The 17,338-nt window shown below is 57.6% G+C and overlaps 7 annotated features.

The window, feature by feature from the left end:
* Positions 762-1,753: an enhancer, noted in NCBI's record as "H3K4me1 hESC enhancer chr8:142570497-142571488 (GRCh37/hg19 assembly coordinates)". NCBI's record gives its function as "activates a minimal SCP1, AML or CMV promoter by ChIP-STARR-seq in primed H9 embryonic stem cells {active_cell/tissue: H9 hESC(primed)}" and the evidence as "EXISTENCE:reporter gene assay evidence [ECO:0000049][PMID:30033119]".
* Positions 1,754-2,745: an enhancer, noted in NCBI's record as "H3K4me1 hESC enhancer chr8:142569505-142570496 (GRCh37/hg19 assembly coordinates)". NCBI's record gives its function as "activates a minimal SCP1, AML or CMV promoter by ChIP-STARR-seq in primed H9 embryonic stem cells {active_cell/tissue: H9 hESC(primed)}" and the evidence as "EXISTENCE:reporter gene assay evidence [ECO:0000049][PMID:30033119]".
* Positions 5,249-5,511: a silencer, noted in NCBI's record as "fragment chr8:142566739-142567001 (GRCh37/hg19 assembly coordinates)". NCBI's record gives its function as "represses an EF-1alpha promoter that drives an FKBP-Casp9 reporter gene in an ReSE screen in HepG2 liver carcinoma cells {active_cell/tissue: HepG2}" and the evidence as "EXISTENCE:reporter gene assay evidence [ECO:0000049][PMID:32094911]".
* Positions 9,690-10,189: an enhancer, noted in NCBI's record as "H3K4me1 hESC enhancer chr8:142562061-142562560 (GRCh37/hg19 assembly coordinates)". NCBI's record gives its function as "activates a minimal SCP1, AML or CMV promoter by ChIP-STARR-seq in primed H9 embryonic stem cells {active_cell/tissue: H9 hESC(primed)}" and the evidence as "EXISTENCE:reporter gene assay evidence [ECO:0000049][PMID:30033119]".
* Positions 10,190-10,691: an enhancer, noted in NCBI's record as "H3K4me1 hESC enhancer chr8:142561559-142562060 (GRCh37/hg19 assembly coordinates)". NCBI's record gives its function as "activates a minimal SCP1, AML or CMV promoter by ChIP-STARR-seq in naive H9 embryonic stem cells {active_cell/tissue: H9 hESC(naive)}" and the evidence as "EXISTENCE:reporter gene assay evidence [ECO:0000049][PMID:30033119]".
* Positions 13,141-13,645: an enhancer, noted in NCBI's record as "H3K4me1 hESC enhancer chr8:142558605-142559109 (GRCh37/hg19 assembly coordinates)". NCBI's record gives its function as "activates a minimal SCP1, AML or CMV promoter by ChIP-STARR-seq in naive H9 embryonic stem cells {active_cell/tissue: H9 hESC(naive)}" and the evidence as "EXISTENCE:reporter gene assay evidence [ECO:0000049][PMID:30033119]".
* Positions 13,646-14,150: an enhancer, noted in NCBI's record as "H3K4me1 hESC enhancer chr8:142558100-142558604 (GRCh37/hg19 assembly coordinates)". NCBI's record gives its function as "activates a minimal SCP1, AML or CMV promoter by ChIP-STARR-seq in naive H9 embryonic stem cells {active_cell/tissue: H9 hESC(naive)}" and the evidence as "EXISTENCE:reporter gene assay evidence [ECO:0000049][PMID:30033119]".

Genomic DNA, 17,338 nt, shown 5'->3' with positions numbered 1-17,338 from the left:
GTAATCCCAACACCTTGGGAGGCTAAGGCAGGAGGATCACTGGAGTCCAGGAATTTGAGGCTGCAGTGAGCTATGATTGTGCCAATGCTCTCCAGCCTGGGTGACACAGTGAGACCCTATCTCTAAAAAACAAAACAAAACCATAAAAACCTCACTGAAAGGGCTGCTGAGGCTGGGTGCACCAAGCTGTGCACACATAACAGGCAAACTCAGGGCCACTCCAGGCTTCCTGCCAGCTCTCCAGAGCCACCGGCTGTGTCCCACACGAGGTGTATGTGTCTGTGTGCTCATGCTTGTGTCTGGACATGCACTGCATGTGGCTGTGGAGGTCCACGTTCTAATGTTCGTGTATCTGCGTCCGTGTGCCTGTCGGGTTCATGGGATGCGTGTGCATATAGCCACGCCTGTGTGTGGCATATGCATCTGTGGACCTGCATCTGTGCATGTATCTGGGTCCCTGTGTGTGTGTGCTGTGTGTGTGCAAATGTGGTGTACCTACATCCATGAGTGTGCCTAGGTGTCCGTGTGTGTGTGTGTGTGTGCTGTGTGTACATATGTGGTGTATCTGCATCTGTGCATGTATCTGGGTGCCTGTGTGTGTGCTGTGTGTGTGTATGTGGTGTGCCTACATCCATGCATGTATCTGGATCCCTGTGTGTGTGCTGTGGATGCATATGAAGGCACAAGTGCACTCTCCACACCCCAGTCCAGACCAGCATGAATGGGCAAAGGGAGGTGCTGGTGAGGTCAGGAGCCTCCTCGGGGCACCTGGCCTTCATCTGGAGGACAGTGGCCAGGGTCAGACTAGAAGGAGGCTGGGAATTTTACTGCGGGAGGGCCTGGGGCAGCAGCATGGCCATCCAGGGCCTCCATGGGCACAGCCAGGAGCAGGGACACGAGCGTAGCTTGGCTCAGCCCAAGGAGGGACTTTCTCACAGGCTCACAGTGTGCACAAGGCAATGGGTTGTCCGCAAGGTGGTGAGCCTCCTGGCCCTGGAGGTGTGCAAGCAGGTTACCTCCCTTTCCAAACAAGCCTGTCATTTAGGACACTGAGAGGCTCCTCCCTTGAGGGGGATGGGCCAGAACAATGAAAGAAGCTGAGGGAGAAGAGCAAAGAGAGGCAGGGCCCCGAATCACACACGCATGCACACACACACAGGCTCGCATGCACGTGTCTGTTCACCTCCAGGCCCTAGAGACAGCCCCCAGTGACTTCATGACGTTCCGACATCGACACTGGTACATTCTCAGACACAATCTGGGCTTCTGCAGGGACAGGGAATTTACTCCCGCTGACAGACATGGAGCAAGAACCTTTCAGGTTGATGCCAATTCTGGCCTCACTGCTGCGAATTGGCCGACAGTAGGCTGGTCACACACCCTCAGTTTCCAGTCTTGGAAAACGCAATCATAGCTGCAGCCTTGGCATCAGTCCCTCCTCCCTGGAAAGCCAGTCGCCGCCCACCATCAGCCATGCCCGATATGGGCATGGACTTCTGGGTACTGCCCGGCCGACCCTCGCAGCCCCTAGTGTTACGGCTCGTGCACTCGAGTCCCTCTTCCCCTGGCTCCCTCCCTCCTCCCCTGCCCTCCATCTGGCTCCCTCCTGGGAGGAGGACAGAGGCCTCAGATTCCACCTGGGGCTGGAGGACGCTGACGGTTCAGACCCCAGAGAGCACCCTGCCCTCAGCACAGAGCCTGGCACGTGGCCACATCCAGTGCCTGCCTCCCTGTGTCCCCTGAAAGGCAGCTGTTACATTTTTGGACTCTGTCTCCACTCAAAGATGCCCCCCTTCCTGCCTCCTAGCCCGGAACCACACACCCCTGCACCCCGCCCACCCCACCCCCTCTCCTGCATTTTCAGTGCACAGCAGAGCTGGGTAGAGGCACTTGTGGCGGCCCCACAAGGATGAGGTGGCCAGTCGGCCATTCACCAGGGGTGGCCTTCCACTGTCCAGCCCCCATGCCAGCCACCAACACTGTCACAGGAAGGCCCGCTGGGCTGCATGGTGGGACCTGAGCTCACTCGGGTCATCCCCAGCTCCAGCAGACATTCCAGGCCTGGGGCATGGAGATCAAGTCTGAGGATGTCGCCCCTGACCTCCCAAGCCTGGGACTCGTGTCCTGCCAGCACCTGCTCCTGGGATCCACGTGCCTCCAAATACCCACCTCACTGGCCAGCACTTGAGTGTGTCCAACTCCAGGCCAGCTAAGAGCAAGCCCCTTAGCTCTTGCTGCCAAGTCATGACAGGAAAGTGAGCCTGCCTGGGAGCCATGCTCACACTTGCCAGGGCAGAAGGAGAGGATGCGGGGGCAGAGGTGAGGGAGTGAGGGTGTGGGGATGAGTCCCAGCCCCTGCGCCTCACGCTGAGCAGCTCTGCTGGGCTGCCTGTCCTCTCTGAGCCTCGGTCTCCACTGGCTGCTCGTGAACAGTATGCCTGTTCCCTGGCTCAGCTATGAAGGGTGTGGCCCGTTCCCTGCCCTGAACAGGAGTGACCTCTCACTGCCTCTCAGCCCAGCCAAGTCCTAACCACCCTGCGGGCCACTGCCTAGGTGTCCCCACTCCCAGGAAGCCCTCCCTGACTGGTCCTGCTGTGGCCATCTTTCCCTCTGCCAGGCACAACTTCTCTCTGCCTAATGTTCTCGGCACACAGAGGCCAGGGCCTGGGACGGAGTTGGGATTTTCATTCCAGCCTTGATCATGTGGTAAAGGTCCTGAGTAAGGCCTCTAATTTCCTGAGCCTCAGTCTCCTCATCTAGAAAATGGGGACGGTCATATCAAGAGCTTGCACTTGCTGGGCTCTCATTGCCCATCCCAGGCACCATGAAAGCCTGTGGCCTGCACTTCCCCCTTTCAGCCTCACACCAGCACTGTGGGGTGGGTACTGTTACCAACATGCTTTATGCATGGGGAGACCAGAGCTCAGAGAGGTCAAGACACCTGCCTGAGGTCACACAGCTGGTCCGTGGAGAAGCCAGGGCTCTGCTACCCAGGTCTGCCTGACCTTGCCCCACAGCCTCCATCCGATGCTCTTGCTGAGGGCACCACATGGCTGTGGAAAGGGTAAGTGAGGTGGTGAGCTCAAATGCCCTTTGAAGACCAACCTCCGGGCGACTGTCAGCTGCAATGCCTCTCTCTGGCCCCCAAGCCAGACGAGCCATCTGAGGCGCAGGACGAGGTCTCTGATCCCAGCCCCAGCCCTGCTCCCAGCACAGGGCCCAGGAAGCGAGAGGCCTTATTCAGCAGCATCACCAGCACCGCGAGAAGGTGAGAGGGGCACATGGGAGGGGTAGAGCCCATTTAGGGAGCACCTGCTAAGTGTAAATACGTCCCGACGGCTGACCTAATTTATCTCTAATGACCCCAGAAATCCTGTGCGGGAGAAATGGGACGCCCTGTGATGGTTTATTTATGTGTCAACCCGACCGGGCTAAGGGGTGGCCTGGCTTGGGGTCCAGAGAGAGGCATGACAGCAGATAGTCGCCCAGAAGTTGGTCTTTGAAGGGCATTTGTGCTCATCACATCACTTACCCTTTCCGCAGCCATGTGGTGCCGTCGGCAAGAGCATCGGATGATGGCAAGATCAGGCGGACCTGGGTAGCAGAGCCCCGGCTTCTCCACAGGCCAGCTGTGCGACCTCAGGCAGGTGGCTTGACCTCTCTGAGCTCTGGTCTCCCCTTGTATAAAACGTGTTGGGAACAGTACCCACCCCACAGTGTCAGTGTGAAACTGAAAGGGGGAAGCGCAGGCCACAGACTTGCGTGGCACCTGGGATGGGCAATGAGTGCCCAGTGCCTAGGGCATTTGTGCTCCTCGTGGACACACCTTCAACACCATGAAGAAAACATGATTTCTGGGTATATGTTTGGAAGTTAGCACTCAGGGCTCTCAGGCCTTCAGACCTGGGCTGGGCCTTACACTCTCAGCTCCCCTGGGTCCTGGGCTTACAGATGGTGGACCGTGAGATTTCTCAGGCTCCATGATGGTGTGAGCCAAACCCCCACAATAAAGCTCTCTTGATGGATCCAGCAGTCTATCTACATAACGCCTACTGGTTCTGTTTGTCTGGAGAGCCCTGACTAACATCCACCTGAAGGCAGAGAAGCCCAGGTCAGCGACATCAACAGGACATTGAGCCGTGAGCCAGCCGTGCAGGCCCACACAGGAACCTGAGTCTCACAGAGCCCCCACAGGCTGGCACGCCCACGTGGGGCAGAGCTGGGCACCCCCATGGGCAGGCTGTGCCAGAGCCCAGGATCCCCAGGGCCCTCGCACGTTGGCCGGGTGTAATCGCATCTGGTCTCAGGGCTTTATCTCCCTCCAGCACCTTGCAGCCCCTCCCCGGCAGGCCTGGCACCCGCCTCCCTCCACTTAACCCGGCACAGGCACCCCTGACTGCTCAATAGCTAGAAATGAATTTACAGCGGGGAGAGGCAGCGGTTTGTGGGTCCTGGAGATGGGACATTTATCTTGTTTGACTGTTCTTGGAATGTCAACAATAAATGCCAAGATGAACAATGAATAAAAATATTCCCAGAAATAACGGGAGAGCAGCTCTCCCCAGACAGACACATGAATGTGGGGATGGGGTCTCGGGGATTGGGCCAGTGGGAGTTCTCAGCCCAAGCGCCCCAGTGGACAGACATGCCCCTTTTATGTCCAGACCACAGGGATCTCAAAGATGAGACAGGAGGCAACGGGGTGATGGCAAGGAGGGAGGGACCCAGGAAGCCACCAGCGGAGGCAGGAGGTGCTGGATGAACCGCAGCTCTCTCACACCGCAGCTCAGCATCCGGCCTCCCTGGCTGCCCTCCAGGGTCTCCAACAGGTTTAAGTGTCAGTTTCCCAGAGCAGTGGCCAACTGGGCCACACGCCCCCAATGGGCTGCCCTCCCTTCCTGGTGTCACCCCTGTTCTGGGTTGAATCGTGCCCCCAGGCAGTTCACATCACCAGAACCTGTGAATGTGAATTTATTTGGAAATAGGGTCTATGCAGGCGTCACTAAGATGAGGTAGCGCTGGATTCATGTGAGCCCTAATCCAATAGGATGGGTCTTCATATGGAAAAGAAACTTGGGGCCAGGTGCAGTGGCTCACGCCTGTAATCCCAACATTTTGTGAGGCTGAAGCAGGCAGATACCTGAGGTCAGGAGTTCAAGACCAGCCTGGCCAACATGGTAAAACCCAAACTCTACTAAAAAAATAAAATAAAATACAAAAAAATTAGCCAGGTTTGGTAGCATGCACCTGTAGTCCCAGCTACTCAGGAGGCTGAGGCAGGAGAATCACCTGAACCTCAAAGGCAGAGAGGTTCAGTGAGCCAAGATCACACCACTGCACTCCAGCCTGGGTGACAGAGCCAGACTCTGTTTCAAAAAAAAAGAACAAAAAACATGGATGCAGGCACAGAGGGACGACAGCTGTGAGACGATGAAAGCAGACTGGGGGATGCGGCCACAAGCCAAGGAATGCCTGGCGCCACTGGCAGCTGGAAGAGGCAGGAAGGAGCCTCCCTGGGAGCCTCGGAGAGAGGGGGCCCTGCCAGCACCTGGATCTCAGGCTTCAGCCTCCAGAGCGGTGAGACAGTCCACGTTTGCAGTTTAAGGTGCCAACTTTGTGGAATTTTGTTACGGCCACCTGAAGACTATATGCCCTGCATCCCTGGCCAGCTCCCAGAGGACCTGCACCCTTCTCCCTGTCTCAAAATCTTCAGTGGGGCCTCAAATTAAGACAAAACTTCAACAGCATCCCTCCTGCACCACGGTCAAGACAACCCTGGGAGACTCAGTGGCCTGGGCCGGGCCCCCTCGCAAGCTTTGGAGGGAAACTGGCGAGATTTAAGCCTCAGCCCCACCAACACTAACTGCAGGACACTGGCCAGTGCCAAGCTCATGGAGCCTGGGGTCCTGGGCCAGCCTGCTGTGGGTAGGAGGCCCACCTGGAAGGAAACTCGAGGCAATCCCATGGAATGACCCAGGAAAAGCAGCAACTGGCAGTTCCCTGTCCCCCCAGGCTTCTGTCATTCTACCTCCTATATGGTCTCCATCAGCCTCCATTCTCTGTCCCCTCCCAAGCTTCTCTGTCCCTCCTGGCCTCAGCCCAACTCTCACCCTACACTGGGAGGGTGATTGTATTAGTCCATTTTCATACTGCTCTGAAGAAATACTCAAGATTGGGTAATTTATAAAGAAAAAGAGGTTTAATGGACTCACAGTTCCACATAGCTGGGGAGGCCTCACAATTGTGACAGAAGGCGAAGGAGGAGAAAAGGCATATCTTACATGGTGGCAGGCAAGAGAGAATCTGCAGGGAACTTCCCTTTATACCACCATCAAATCTCATGAGACTTATTCACTATCGGGAGAACAGCCCAGGAAAAACCTGACCCCATGATTCAATTACCTCCCATGACATGTGGGGATTATGGAGCTACAATTCAAGATGAGACTGGGTGGGGACACAGCAAAACCATACCAGTGATTTTTCTCTAAATGCCTGTCAAATCAAGCCACATGCCTTCCCAGGGCCCCCCAGGGCTCCACTGCTCCAGTGCCCAAGTCCCCACATCAAAGACCTTCAGCAAGAGTCCAACCCTCCTTTCTAGTCTTTCCTTTAACAAGCCTTTAACACATGGACATGCCTCCAATGCCATGCACACTCTTTCAGTATTGTGCATAGGCCTCCAACAGATGGACACACTTTCAATGGCATGGACACACCTCCAATGCAATGGACATGCCTTCAACGGGATGAATACACCTCCAACGTGATGGACATGCCTCCAACGGTGTGGATACACCTCCAACACCATGGATACACCTCCAATGCCATGAACATACCTCCAACACCATGGACACACCTTCAACACCATGACACACCTCCAACACCATGGACACACCTCCAACACCATGACATACCTCCAACACCATGGACACACCTCCAACACCATGACACACCTCCAACACCATGGACACACCTCCAACACCACGACACACCTTCAACACCATGGACACACCTTCAACACCATGAACCACCTTTAACACCATGACACACCTCCAACACCATGACACACCTTCAACATCATGACACACTTTTAACACCGTGAACATGCCTTCAATGCCATGAGAATGCCTCCAACACCATGGACACGCCTCCAACACCATGGACATGCCTTCAACAACATGGACACACCTCCAACACCACAACACATCTTTAACACCATGACACAACTTCAACACCATGGACATGCCTCCAACACTATGACACACCTTCAACACCATGAACATGCCTTCAATGCCATGGGCATGCCTGCAGTGCCATGGACTTGCCTCCAGCACCATGGACACACCTCCAACACCACGGACATGCCTCCAACACCATGGACACACCTCCAACACCACGACACACGTCCAACACCATGGACACACCTCAGCTTCTGCCCAGACAGGAGTTTCTCTCCCCTCCTGGCCCCTCTGTGGTTCCATTTTCCTCCTCCATTTCTCTCAACAAAGCTCTACCTTCCCTCTCTGCCTCCCTTCCCTGGAACCTGGAGGTCTGAAGGTGGCCACTCCTCTGCCTCGTGCCTTCTGAGCAGGCAGGTGCACAGTTCCAAGTCCAGTGAGACCTGACCACACTGGAGACCAGGCAGTGAAAGCCACCACCCCTCCTCCAAGTGCAGTGTTCAGCCTCCATTACGTCCTCTGCCTGCTTCTCTTCTTGCGTGCAGGCGCTGTCTGTCTCTCTCTTTCTCTCTCTCTCTCTCTCTCTCTCTCTCTCTCTCTCTCTCTCTCAAGTTTAAAGGCAAAATAAAAGTAATCTTAGCCAGCAGGACTAAGATTTGGGCCTTCTCTGTAGAGATGTTGGTGGCCTGGTTCTCTCTGCAGACCTGCCCGACCCTGCATAATACTTGGTGCTCAGGGCCTGAGGAGCTGTGTGATGTAATCCCTTCCTGGCCAGCAGCCCTCAGGCCCCCTGTCCCTGTGCCTGAGCTCCCTCACCTCTCCCTGCTTCTATTCCAGGAGCCTCCCCTCTCTCACTCTTCCCCCAGCCTCACCACAGCCAGGTCAGGAGTGTCTAAATTACTTATGTGTGTTTAACCATTACAACAACCAATGAGTTTGGAGTCTAATATTTTTAATCCTTATTTTTCAGATGAGGAATCAGCCTCAGGGACATTACGAGATGCAGGGTTTTGCATCCAGGTTTCTCTGTCTCCAAAGTTTGTTCTCTTAACCACCTCACCATAGGGAGTCTGATGTCCCTCTCATAAGGATGAGCCAAGCAGTGGTGGTGATGAATCGAGTGTGTCAGTTCCTGTCGTGGTATAACCATCACGCCAAAAACTAAGCAGCTTCAAGCAGTGACATTCTGTGTTCACAATCCTGAGTTGGTCGTTTGAACAGGGCTCAGCTGGGATGGGTCCTCTGCTCCACAGGATGCTGTCTGGGCTCACACGAGCCTTTGCAGTTTGCTGGCCTCACCTGCACATCTGACAGGAGCAGTGGGGATGGCTTGGCCGTGTGTGTGCCTCATATGGTGCGACGGCCCCGCTGCCACTGCTAGAATCCAGTCCCTCACTGGCCCGCTCCATCTCACATGCCAAAGACCTCAGTGCTGATAGATCGGGGAAGAGCCTGGACCTGGAGCCAAAGTCCCAAAGCCTCAGAGCAAAAAGGACCTTGGCAAAGCCCGAGGCAGCCTGCCCCATGCTACACAGGACAAGCCCAGGCTGAGAACTCAGGGGTTTGCTCAATGCACAGAGAAGCCTTGGCTCTAAGCTGGCTAGCTCTAAGCCACTTCCTCAGGACACCTCCTCCAGGAAGCCCTTCCTGATCTATCTGTCAGTTCTCAGTGCCCATCTGTGAAGAGGTAACGGTACCTGAAGGGCCAACCAGTGCCTGTCCCCTGCGTGTTCGGCCTGACAGCCTAACCTACCCAGGTCCACCCTCGGCCTGTGGGCAGGGCCGTCTCCGCTGTCCAGTGCCACTGTCCACATCTGCAAAATGCATGTGCTACCCTCCGCTGCTGGACCCCTGGCTGCTATGAGGACTCTATAAAATGAGATGAGAGATACGAAAGCTTTTTGTACAGTGATGGTGAAGACAGTGAGGAAGAGTATGATGAAGAGAGCTCTGGAAGGTTAAGCCGAGTCCCCTTGATGCCTGGGGGATGCTCCCAGCTGGGCGGCTGTTGCTGAGTCGGCATCTACCCTGCTTTGCAGCGCCTGTGTGGGCAGCTTAGCCCTAGAGTGAATATCTGGAGCATATGGAAAGATATGTGCACTGTGTGTATGTCAGCATTCACTGAGCATTCACAATTGCTCACAGGTGGGTGCACACTCACACAAACTCATGCACACACACCATTCACTATTAGACTAAAATCAGCCTACACAGATCAAGACGGCACTGGGCAGCAGGAAGTTCCACTGTTCACACTTAGCACCGCTAGCATCAGGCCAGAGTTATGAGCAAGCATTTGGGACAGGAAGCTGAGGCCAGCTGCCCTTCCAAGCTGCCCAGAGCAAGAGATGGGAGGGCTGAGGGACCCTTGGTAAGTGCTCAGGCAGTGTTTGTTGAGTGACTGAATGACTGAGTCTCCTTGAGTCCCGGTGAGCTTCAGATAGCCCAGCCAGGGCCACACGCCCTCCCTATGGACAGTAGAGCCACCATGCCACACGGGTCAAGGCACCAGTGTCCCTTCTGCCCCTAAGGAACTGGCAGGTTCGGGGGTACAGTAGGGGAATTGAGGGGTGCCTGGAGAAGCAAGGCACAGCAGGAGGGGAGGGGGCTCCTGGGGACTGTGAAAGGTGCTTTCTGCTACTGGCCCTCCACCTGTTCTGAGTAATTGTGTGCAGGGTCGCCCTCGAGCAAGGAAAATGCAAGAAGCAATTCTGTGTCTCCTGTCAAAATGGGAAGAGGTTAAGTGAATGAGTAGTGGAAGATCCAACCTGGCAACCACTTAGGTTTGGTGCTTTTTCGGAAATCGGGAAGGGCGTCTCAGTTGCTGTTCCCACAGGAGAGTAGCAGGCATCTCGCACAGCCAAGAGCTGGGCTGAGACTCTCAAGGACACTGGAGGGAGGCCCAGGGACCAGAATGAGGCAAAGAGAGGCAGAGAAACTGCTCAGAGAGGGAGGGGGAAGGAGCCAGACTTGGGGCCTCATGAGCAGGAGGTGGAGCTGGCCGGGTCTGGAAGGGATGGGGCTGGCGCTGCGTCTCCTGGCATCCCAGCTCAGGACAGCTGAGGTGGGCATGGCAGGGCCAGACTGCAGGGAAACTGGTGCCTGCAGGAGGGACATGGGCCAGGGTAGGGCGGAAGGGGATGGGGCCGAGCATGGAGGTCGGGGGGTGGGGGGCAGGCATGGCTCCACCTGCAGTTGGGGGCATGAGGGGGTCGGGGGCTCTGCCACCTCTGCTGCACTCCCTTCATGTGGCATGTAGCCACTGAGGGAGCGGGACCGACTGTGCCTCCGTGCTAGGCCTGGGTGTGCCCAGCACATAAAGGAGCAACTCTGCAGGCAGCCCCTGCTCAGGATGGCCAGGGAACTAAGGTCCTCTAGAGGGGCGCCAGCCCAGCCCCCAGACAGACCCCAGCCCACCAGGCGGAAGCGCCCCGGCCCCCAGACAGACCCCAGCCCACCAGGCGGAAGCGCCCCGGCCCCCAGAGAGACCCCAGCCCACCAGGCAGAAGCGCCCCGGCTCCCAGACAGACCCCAGCCCACCAGGCAGAAGCGCCCCGGCCCCCAGACAGACCCCAGCCCACCAGGCGGAAGCGCCCCGGCTCCCAGACAGACCCCAGCCCACCAGGCGGAAGCACCCCGGCCCCCAGAGAGACCCCTGCCCACCAGGCAGAAGCGCCCCGGCCCCCAGAGAGACCCCAGCCCACCAGGCGGAAGCGCCCCGGCTCCCAGACAGACCCCAGCCCACCAGGCGGAAGCACCCCGGCCCCCAGAGAGACCCCTGCCCACCAGGCAGAAGCGCCCCGGCTCCCAGAGAGACCCCAGCCCACCAGGCAGAAGCGCCCCGGCCCCCAGAGAGACCCCAGCCCACCAGGCAGAAGCGCCCCGGCTCCCAGACAGACCCCAGCCCACCAGGCGGAAGCGCCCCGGCCCCCAGAGAGACCCCAGCCCACCAGGCGGAAGCGCCCCGGCCCCCAGACAGACCCCAGCCCACCAGGCGGAAGCGCCCCGGCCCCCAGAGAGACCCCAGCCCACCAGGCAGAAGCGCCCCAGCCCCCAGAGAGACCCCAGCCCACCAGGCAGAAGCGCCCCGGCCCCCAGAGAGACCCCAGCCCACCAGGCGGAAGCGCCCCGGCCCCCAGAGAGACCCCAGCCCACCAGGCGGAAGCGCCCCGGCCCCCAGAGAGACCCCAGCCCACCAGGCAGAAGCGCCCCGGCTCCCAGACAGACCCCAGCCCACCAGGCAGAAGCGCCCCGGCCCCCAGAGAGACCCCAGCCCACCAGGCGGAAGCGCCCCGGCCCCCAGACAGACCCCAGCCCACCAGGCGGAAGAGCCCCGGCTCCCAGACAGACCCCAGCCCACCAGGCGGAAGCGCCCCGGCTCCCAGACAGACCCCAGCCCACCAGGCAGAAGCGCCCCGGCTCCCAGACAGACCCCTGCCCACCAGGCAGAAGCGCCCCGGCTCCCAGACAGACCCCTGCCCACCAGGCAGAAGCGCCCCGGCTCCCAGACAGACCCCTGCCCACCAGGCAGAAGCGCCCCGGCTCCCAGACAGACCCCTGCCCACCAGGCGGAAGCACCCCTGGCCCCTGCTCCCTCTGCTGCATGTGCTTTTGCGGCACTAGCCTTGCTGAGGAGTCCTTAGCCTGGAATCTGCCTGACGGTGGCCATCCTCCTCCCTGCTCACCTGGTTTGTCTTCTGATGTCCACCCCGACCCACTGGATCACCGTGCTTGGCAGATACAGGCCCAGCTCTGGGCCCGTGGGGAGCTGACGGGCCTGACTGTGAAGGGTGGCTCAGGACATGGGTTCCAGCTGGGAGTGGCCCACCCAGCACTGAGCACATGCAGGAGAGACGACGTGGAGCCCTGGGGGCAGTGACGCCTGCCGGGGACTCACAGGGTACGCCTGTGTCAGCAGGTGGTAAGGGAAAGCATCAGAAGAAGGCTGGGTGCCTGGGGCAGGATGACCCATGTCATGGGGCTGCAGAGGACAGGCCTGGGCTGCCCGTGAGGCCTGAGGACTCCTTGGGGACAGCTGGGCTGGGCCAGTCCACTGAGTGACAGGAGGAACAGTGCCCTCCACTATGAGGCCTCCTGGGCCGAGCAGAGGGGTGGAGCCTCAAGCGGGTGGGCTGGCTCAGGAAGACACCCATTGCTCCTCAGTGGCAGCTGCGGGGTACACGGGTGCTGGGACCCTGACTGCTGGGCTGGGCTGAGCTGCCTGCGGAGACAAGAGGCCCGCCGCCCAGCGACCCCAGGCTCTACCTTCTGTCCTGGAGACCCTGGTTCTGAGCCACACACCGCAGCCAAGGCCCTGGCCAGTGGTTCTGAGCCACACACCACAGCCAAGGCCACTGTGGCAAGTGGTTCGGAGCCACACACCACAGCCAAGTCCACCGTGGCCAGTGGTTCTCAGCCACACACCACAGCCAAGGCCACTGTGGCAAGTGGTTCGGAGCCACACACCGCAGCCAAGGCCACCGTGGCCAGTGGTTCTGAGCCACACACCACAGCCAAGGCCACCGTGGCCAGTGGTTCTGAGCCACACACCGCAGCCAAGGCCAACGTGGCCAGTGGCGAACAGCCTAGGACATAGAGGTGGGGGCTTTCCAGGTTGAGGCACACCCAGCCAAGCAGTAGGCCAGGGGACAAGCCAGGAAGGCAGGACTCATCCCCAAGTCCCCAGGGGCCCAGTCCAGGGAGGAAACGGAGGTACAGTCGGTCCTGCTCCCTCGGGGGCCACATGCCATAAGAAGGAAGCGCAGCAGAAGTGGCAGGGCTCCTGCCCACCTCATGCCCCCAACCGCAGGTGCAGCCAGCCGGGAAGGAAGTGAAGGCAGTGGGCCTGGGCCCCATCACCTTGGCACCCCTTCCCTGAGCAGGGCTGGGTGGCCCCGCAGGACTCTTCCTGCTGGAGCCCAGGATCCAAACCTACTCCACTCAGAGTCTGGCTACCAGCCACAGACCTGGGCCCATAGTCCCGTTTCTAGATCTCTGCCCTGCAGCTCTGAGGAAGCCTCATGCTGGAGGGTAAGGGCTGCTGAGAGCATCCCTGAGGGGCCACCTCTGAGGACCCTCGAGGGCAGTGGCGGAAGAGGTCCTGTGAGACGCCAGCCCACCTGACCCACCAGCATCCATGAGGTGCTTGTGCCTGTGAGGACAGTGCTGGCGGGCACAGAACCACAGGAGCCCCAGGCACTCTGGAAGGCCACCTTGCCAGCCTGGGGCCCTGGGAGTCTGGGGGCGGGTGACGTGCTGCTCAGGAAGCAGAAGCACAGGCAGGTAAACTGAGCCTGAACCAGCTCCTGGGTCTGCATCCCCACCCCGGCCCTCCCTGAAGCCCTGTGGGGACTCAGCTCAGACCGCCCCTGCCACCCCACGAAGGGCAGACCTGGGTGGGGAGGAGGGGGAGGAGCGTGCTGCTGGCCGGACCTAGGGTGGATGGGGTGACAGCTGGCAGAGGGAGAGTGGGCGTTCAATTCTGACCCAGAACACGGCCCGCGGAGAACCAGTTCAGGACCGCAGACAGGGGCGAGGATAATTCTGAGGCTATTTTCCTCGTCCTTCCTCCCTCCCTCTCTGGGGCACGGAGGCTGAAGCTTCCACCATTAAGCATGCCCCTGGAGCCCCTAAATCCTGCCTGCGTGTTCTCTGCCAGCTTCCACCGCCGGCTAATGTCACTGCAAAGGCATCTGGCTGGCCCCAGGGAGCACTCACCAATTGCACTCAAATGTTAAGTAAGCCCCAGGCCCGCCTCCTTCCAAATGTCACTTTCTGGAAAGATGCAATGAGCCTCGGGCCCCTCCCAGGACACAGGCAGTCAGACCTCCTGACTGCCCTTCCCAGACCCAAACCCCACCCACCATGCAGAGGCAAAGCAGGGCTCCAGGGCATGGGGATCCTCCCTGCACCTAAAGAAAACCACAGTGGTGGGCACTACGCGTTTATCAAGCACCAACAGATGCAGTGCCTCCACCAGGCTCCTTCACTGGCAATCACATTCGATTCTCACACGACCTCAACAGAAGACGATTTTCCCGATTGTACAGCTAAGGAAACAGGCTTCAAGAAGCAGAGTCATTTGCCACAGACACTGTGACCAGGAGAGTTGTACTCCCACACATTCTGTCTGCTCCTCCACTCTCCCAATGGGCTATGAGAACAGATACCATGTCCCTTCTAGGCCAAAGTCCAGAAGAGCCAGTGGCTGGCTGCAGTTTCCCCTCCCCTTCCTGCATTGCCCAGCAATATACCAAAGGTGGGTCTTTCATCACCCTGGAGCCCTGAGTGACTCTGTGGAGCAGACCCCCCAGCCTCACTCGGTCACCCCTGCCACCCTACAGAAGTCTGCATGAGCAAGAAACAGCCACTTCCACTGCCACATTGCCAAAGTTGGGAGGTGTTGGAGAAACTGAATGCATGTGGCCACATGCAGCGCTGCTCCTGCCTTAGTACCGATCATCCACCAAGCGCTCCCCAGGGCAGAGGGCCAATCCTCTGAAAACGCAGATAACCTGGAGCCCAGCTCTTGGCATGTGGACAAGTAATCCTAATATAGGTGGAGCATCCCAAATCCAAAAATCCCAAATTCAAAATGTTCCTAAGTCCAAAACTTTTTGAACACCAACGTGACATTCAAAGGAATGCTCAGTGGAGCATTTTGTACTTCAGATTTCCAGATTTGGGATGTTCAGCCAGTAAGTATAATACAAATATTTCAAAATCCAAAGAAATACAAGACACTTCTGGTCCCAAGAATTTCAGATCAGAGATGCTCAACCATGATACGAACGGCAGATGACAAAGTCGCATTGGCATAGCTTGTACGTCCAGGCAGTGTGGCAGGGATTTGTTGCATTTTGACCCATTCAATTCTGGTGACAATGCTGGCAGTGACCTTCTGCAAGGACCCAAGACCCTCAGCCTTAGGAACAGGCCACGAGTGTGGCCTAGGCAGTGGCCCTCAGCCAGGGACGGTCAGGAAGTGGTGACTGAAACATCCACGTCCCCACCCTTGGGGTAGCGCATATCTGAGCTGTGGGACCCACATCCCAGATCCCAGCCCAGCTGAGCTTCAGGTGCCACCATGGTAACTGCCTTGATAACAGACCCCTCCTCCCGAACAGCTGCTTCCTGAGACATCTCACACACCCCAAAATAAGCCACGCACACTAGATTCCTGGCTTCAGAATCTGCTTCTAAGGGAATCCAACCAAACAGAACAACCCTCTGAAGCCTCCATTTTACAGAAGGGGGAAACAAGTCATGGAGTGCAGAGTGACTAGGGCCCCACAGCCAGGGGATGGGGATGCCAGGTCCGAGCCACCACCGTTTGACCCTGGCTTCAGGCTCTGCACCTCCACAAGGCGCAAGGCCCAGCCAATGGTCAGTATGCTTACCCATCCTCTTTCCAACCTCATGAGGCCCCACGTCCTCTCTTTCCAAGCCATCCATTGAGCCCCTCAGCCGTTCATGCATCTGTGCATTTATTAGACACACACTAAGCACCACCCCATGGAGACCCTGGGCAGTCATGATGCCACCATTCACCCTCAGCAACCCTGTGCAAGGCCAGCGTGTCCTGAGGGGTGCCCTGCATCCTGGTTTCGTGGAGACTGCACAGGTGTTTAGGGAGAGAGGGATGTGGGGTCCAAAACGTTTGTAAAAGTTTGGTATAGAAAATGTTGAACACATTTTCCACAGTGAGATACCATTTCACACCCACTAACATGGCTGGAACCAAAAAGATAGACAATGACTAAGTGTTGATGAGGAGCTGGAGAAATCGAACCCCTCCGACACTGCCAGCCGAAATGTGACATGGTGCCGTCACTTTGGAAGGCTGCTGGGTACATCCTCAAACAGTTAAGGATGGCACTGCCATGTGACCCAGCAATTCCACTCCCAGGCCTATCCCCAAGAGAAAGCAAAGCCTATGTCACACAAAACCTTGTACACAGATGTTCACAGCAGCTGTATTCCTAACAGCCAAAAAGTTCAAACAGCCCACATGCTCATCAACTGATGAAAAGACAAAATGCAGTCCATCCACACAACAGAACAATGTGCCGTGGTGAGGCGGAGCGCTGCACGGTCACAGACCACAGTGTGGGCGAGCCTTCAGAGCCCTAGGAAACGGAAAGGAACCAGACAAGAAAGCCACACATGGCCTGATTCCACTCATATGAAAATGCCCAGAACAGGCAAATCCAAGGACAGAAAGTAAAACAGGGGTCGCCAGGGGCTGCCAGGGGGTATGGAAGGGGCAGGGGCTAAGAACACAGCGTTTCTCTTTGAAAGTACGAGAATGTGCCAAAATGGACTGTGGTGCTGGTGGCACGGCCCTGCGAATATGCTGCCAACCCATCGGTTGTACACTTTAAAGCTGTGAATTGTGTGGTATGTGAACTGTATCTCAATAAAACTGGTTGTTAGAAATGTTAAAGCCTTTTTCTTCAAAGTGCCCCGGTTTTCCTCTTGGTAGGCTTTCTGGGAGCCTTTCCTGGGTGGACTCTGGGGTCTGCAGATGTCCCTGGGCCCCGCTCATGATTTCACCTTGACAATTTTCTCAAGCGGTTTTCTACAAAACTGCTTCCGGAAGCTCTCAAACTGGCCTGGCTTGGAGCAGGACAGGTGACTGAGCTTCAACACCGACAACCCCTGGCTTGGAGCCGTTGTGTCTCCACAAATGGAAAGAGAGCAGCAGCCTGGCTGTGGGAGGCAGGGGACACAGCGGGCGCTTGTCACTGTATAAACAGGAAGCACAGCACTGATGCTGGCAGCCCTTATGTGGAAGGCAAAGGACCAGAGGGAAGAGGCCACACCACGGGTGATAGCCGTCTCTGCTCTGCGCGGTGCCACGTGGGGAATTTCCACCTGCATTTCCTTTGCTGGCGAGTATCAGCTCATCTTTCCCCACTGGACAGGTAAAATGAGCATGATTTCAAAAAGGGGAAAGAAAAAGAATGAGCTGGCTCCAACACGTTCAGGTTTCTTTTCCACAGCTTTGTGAAGCCAGGGCACCGCTGTTTCCACTTGGCCCTGGAAGCAGCGGGAGCCACCAGTGAGTGGGGCTGGGAATGCCGAGAGCTCTTGGGGTTGGGGGAGCCTGCTGGGTCGGGAGTGGGGGTCTAGCCCCCCGGAGCAAGGCCTGCTCC

Source organism: Homo sapiens, chromosome 8, assembly GCF_000001405.40.
Source record: "Homo sapiens chromosome 8, GRCh38.p14 Primary Assembly".
In the NCBI taxonomy this organism is placed as follows: domain Eukaryota; kingdom Metazoa; phylum Chordata; class Mammalia; order Primates; family Hominidae; genus Homo; species Homo sapiens.
This window is presented reverse-complemented; position numbering and strand designations above follow the sequence as displayed.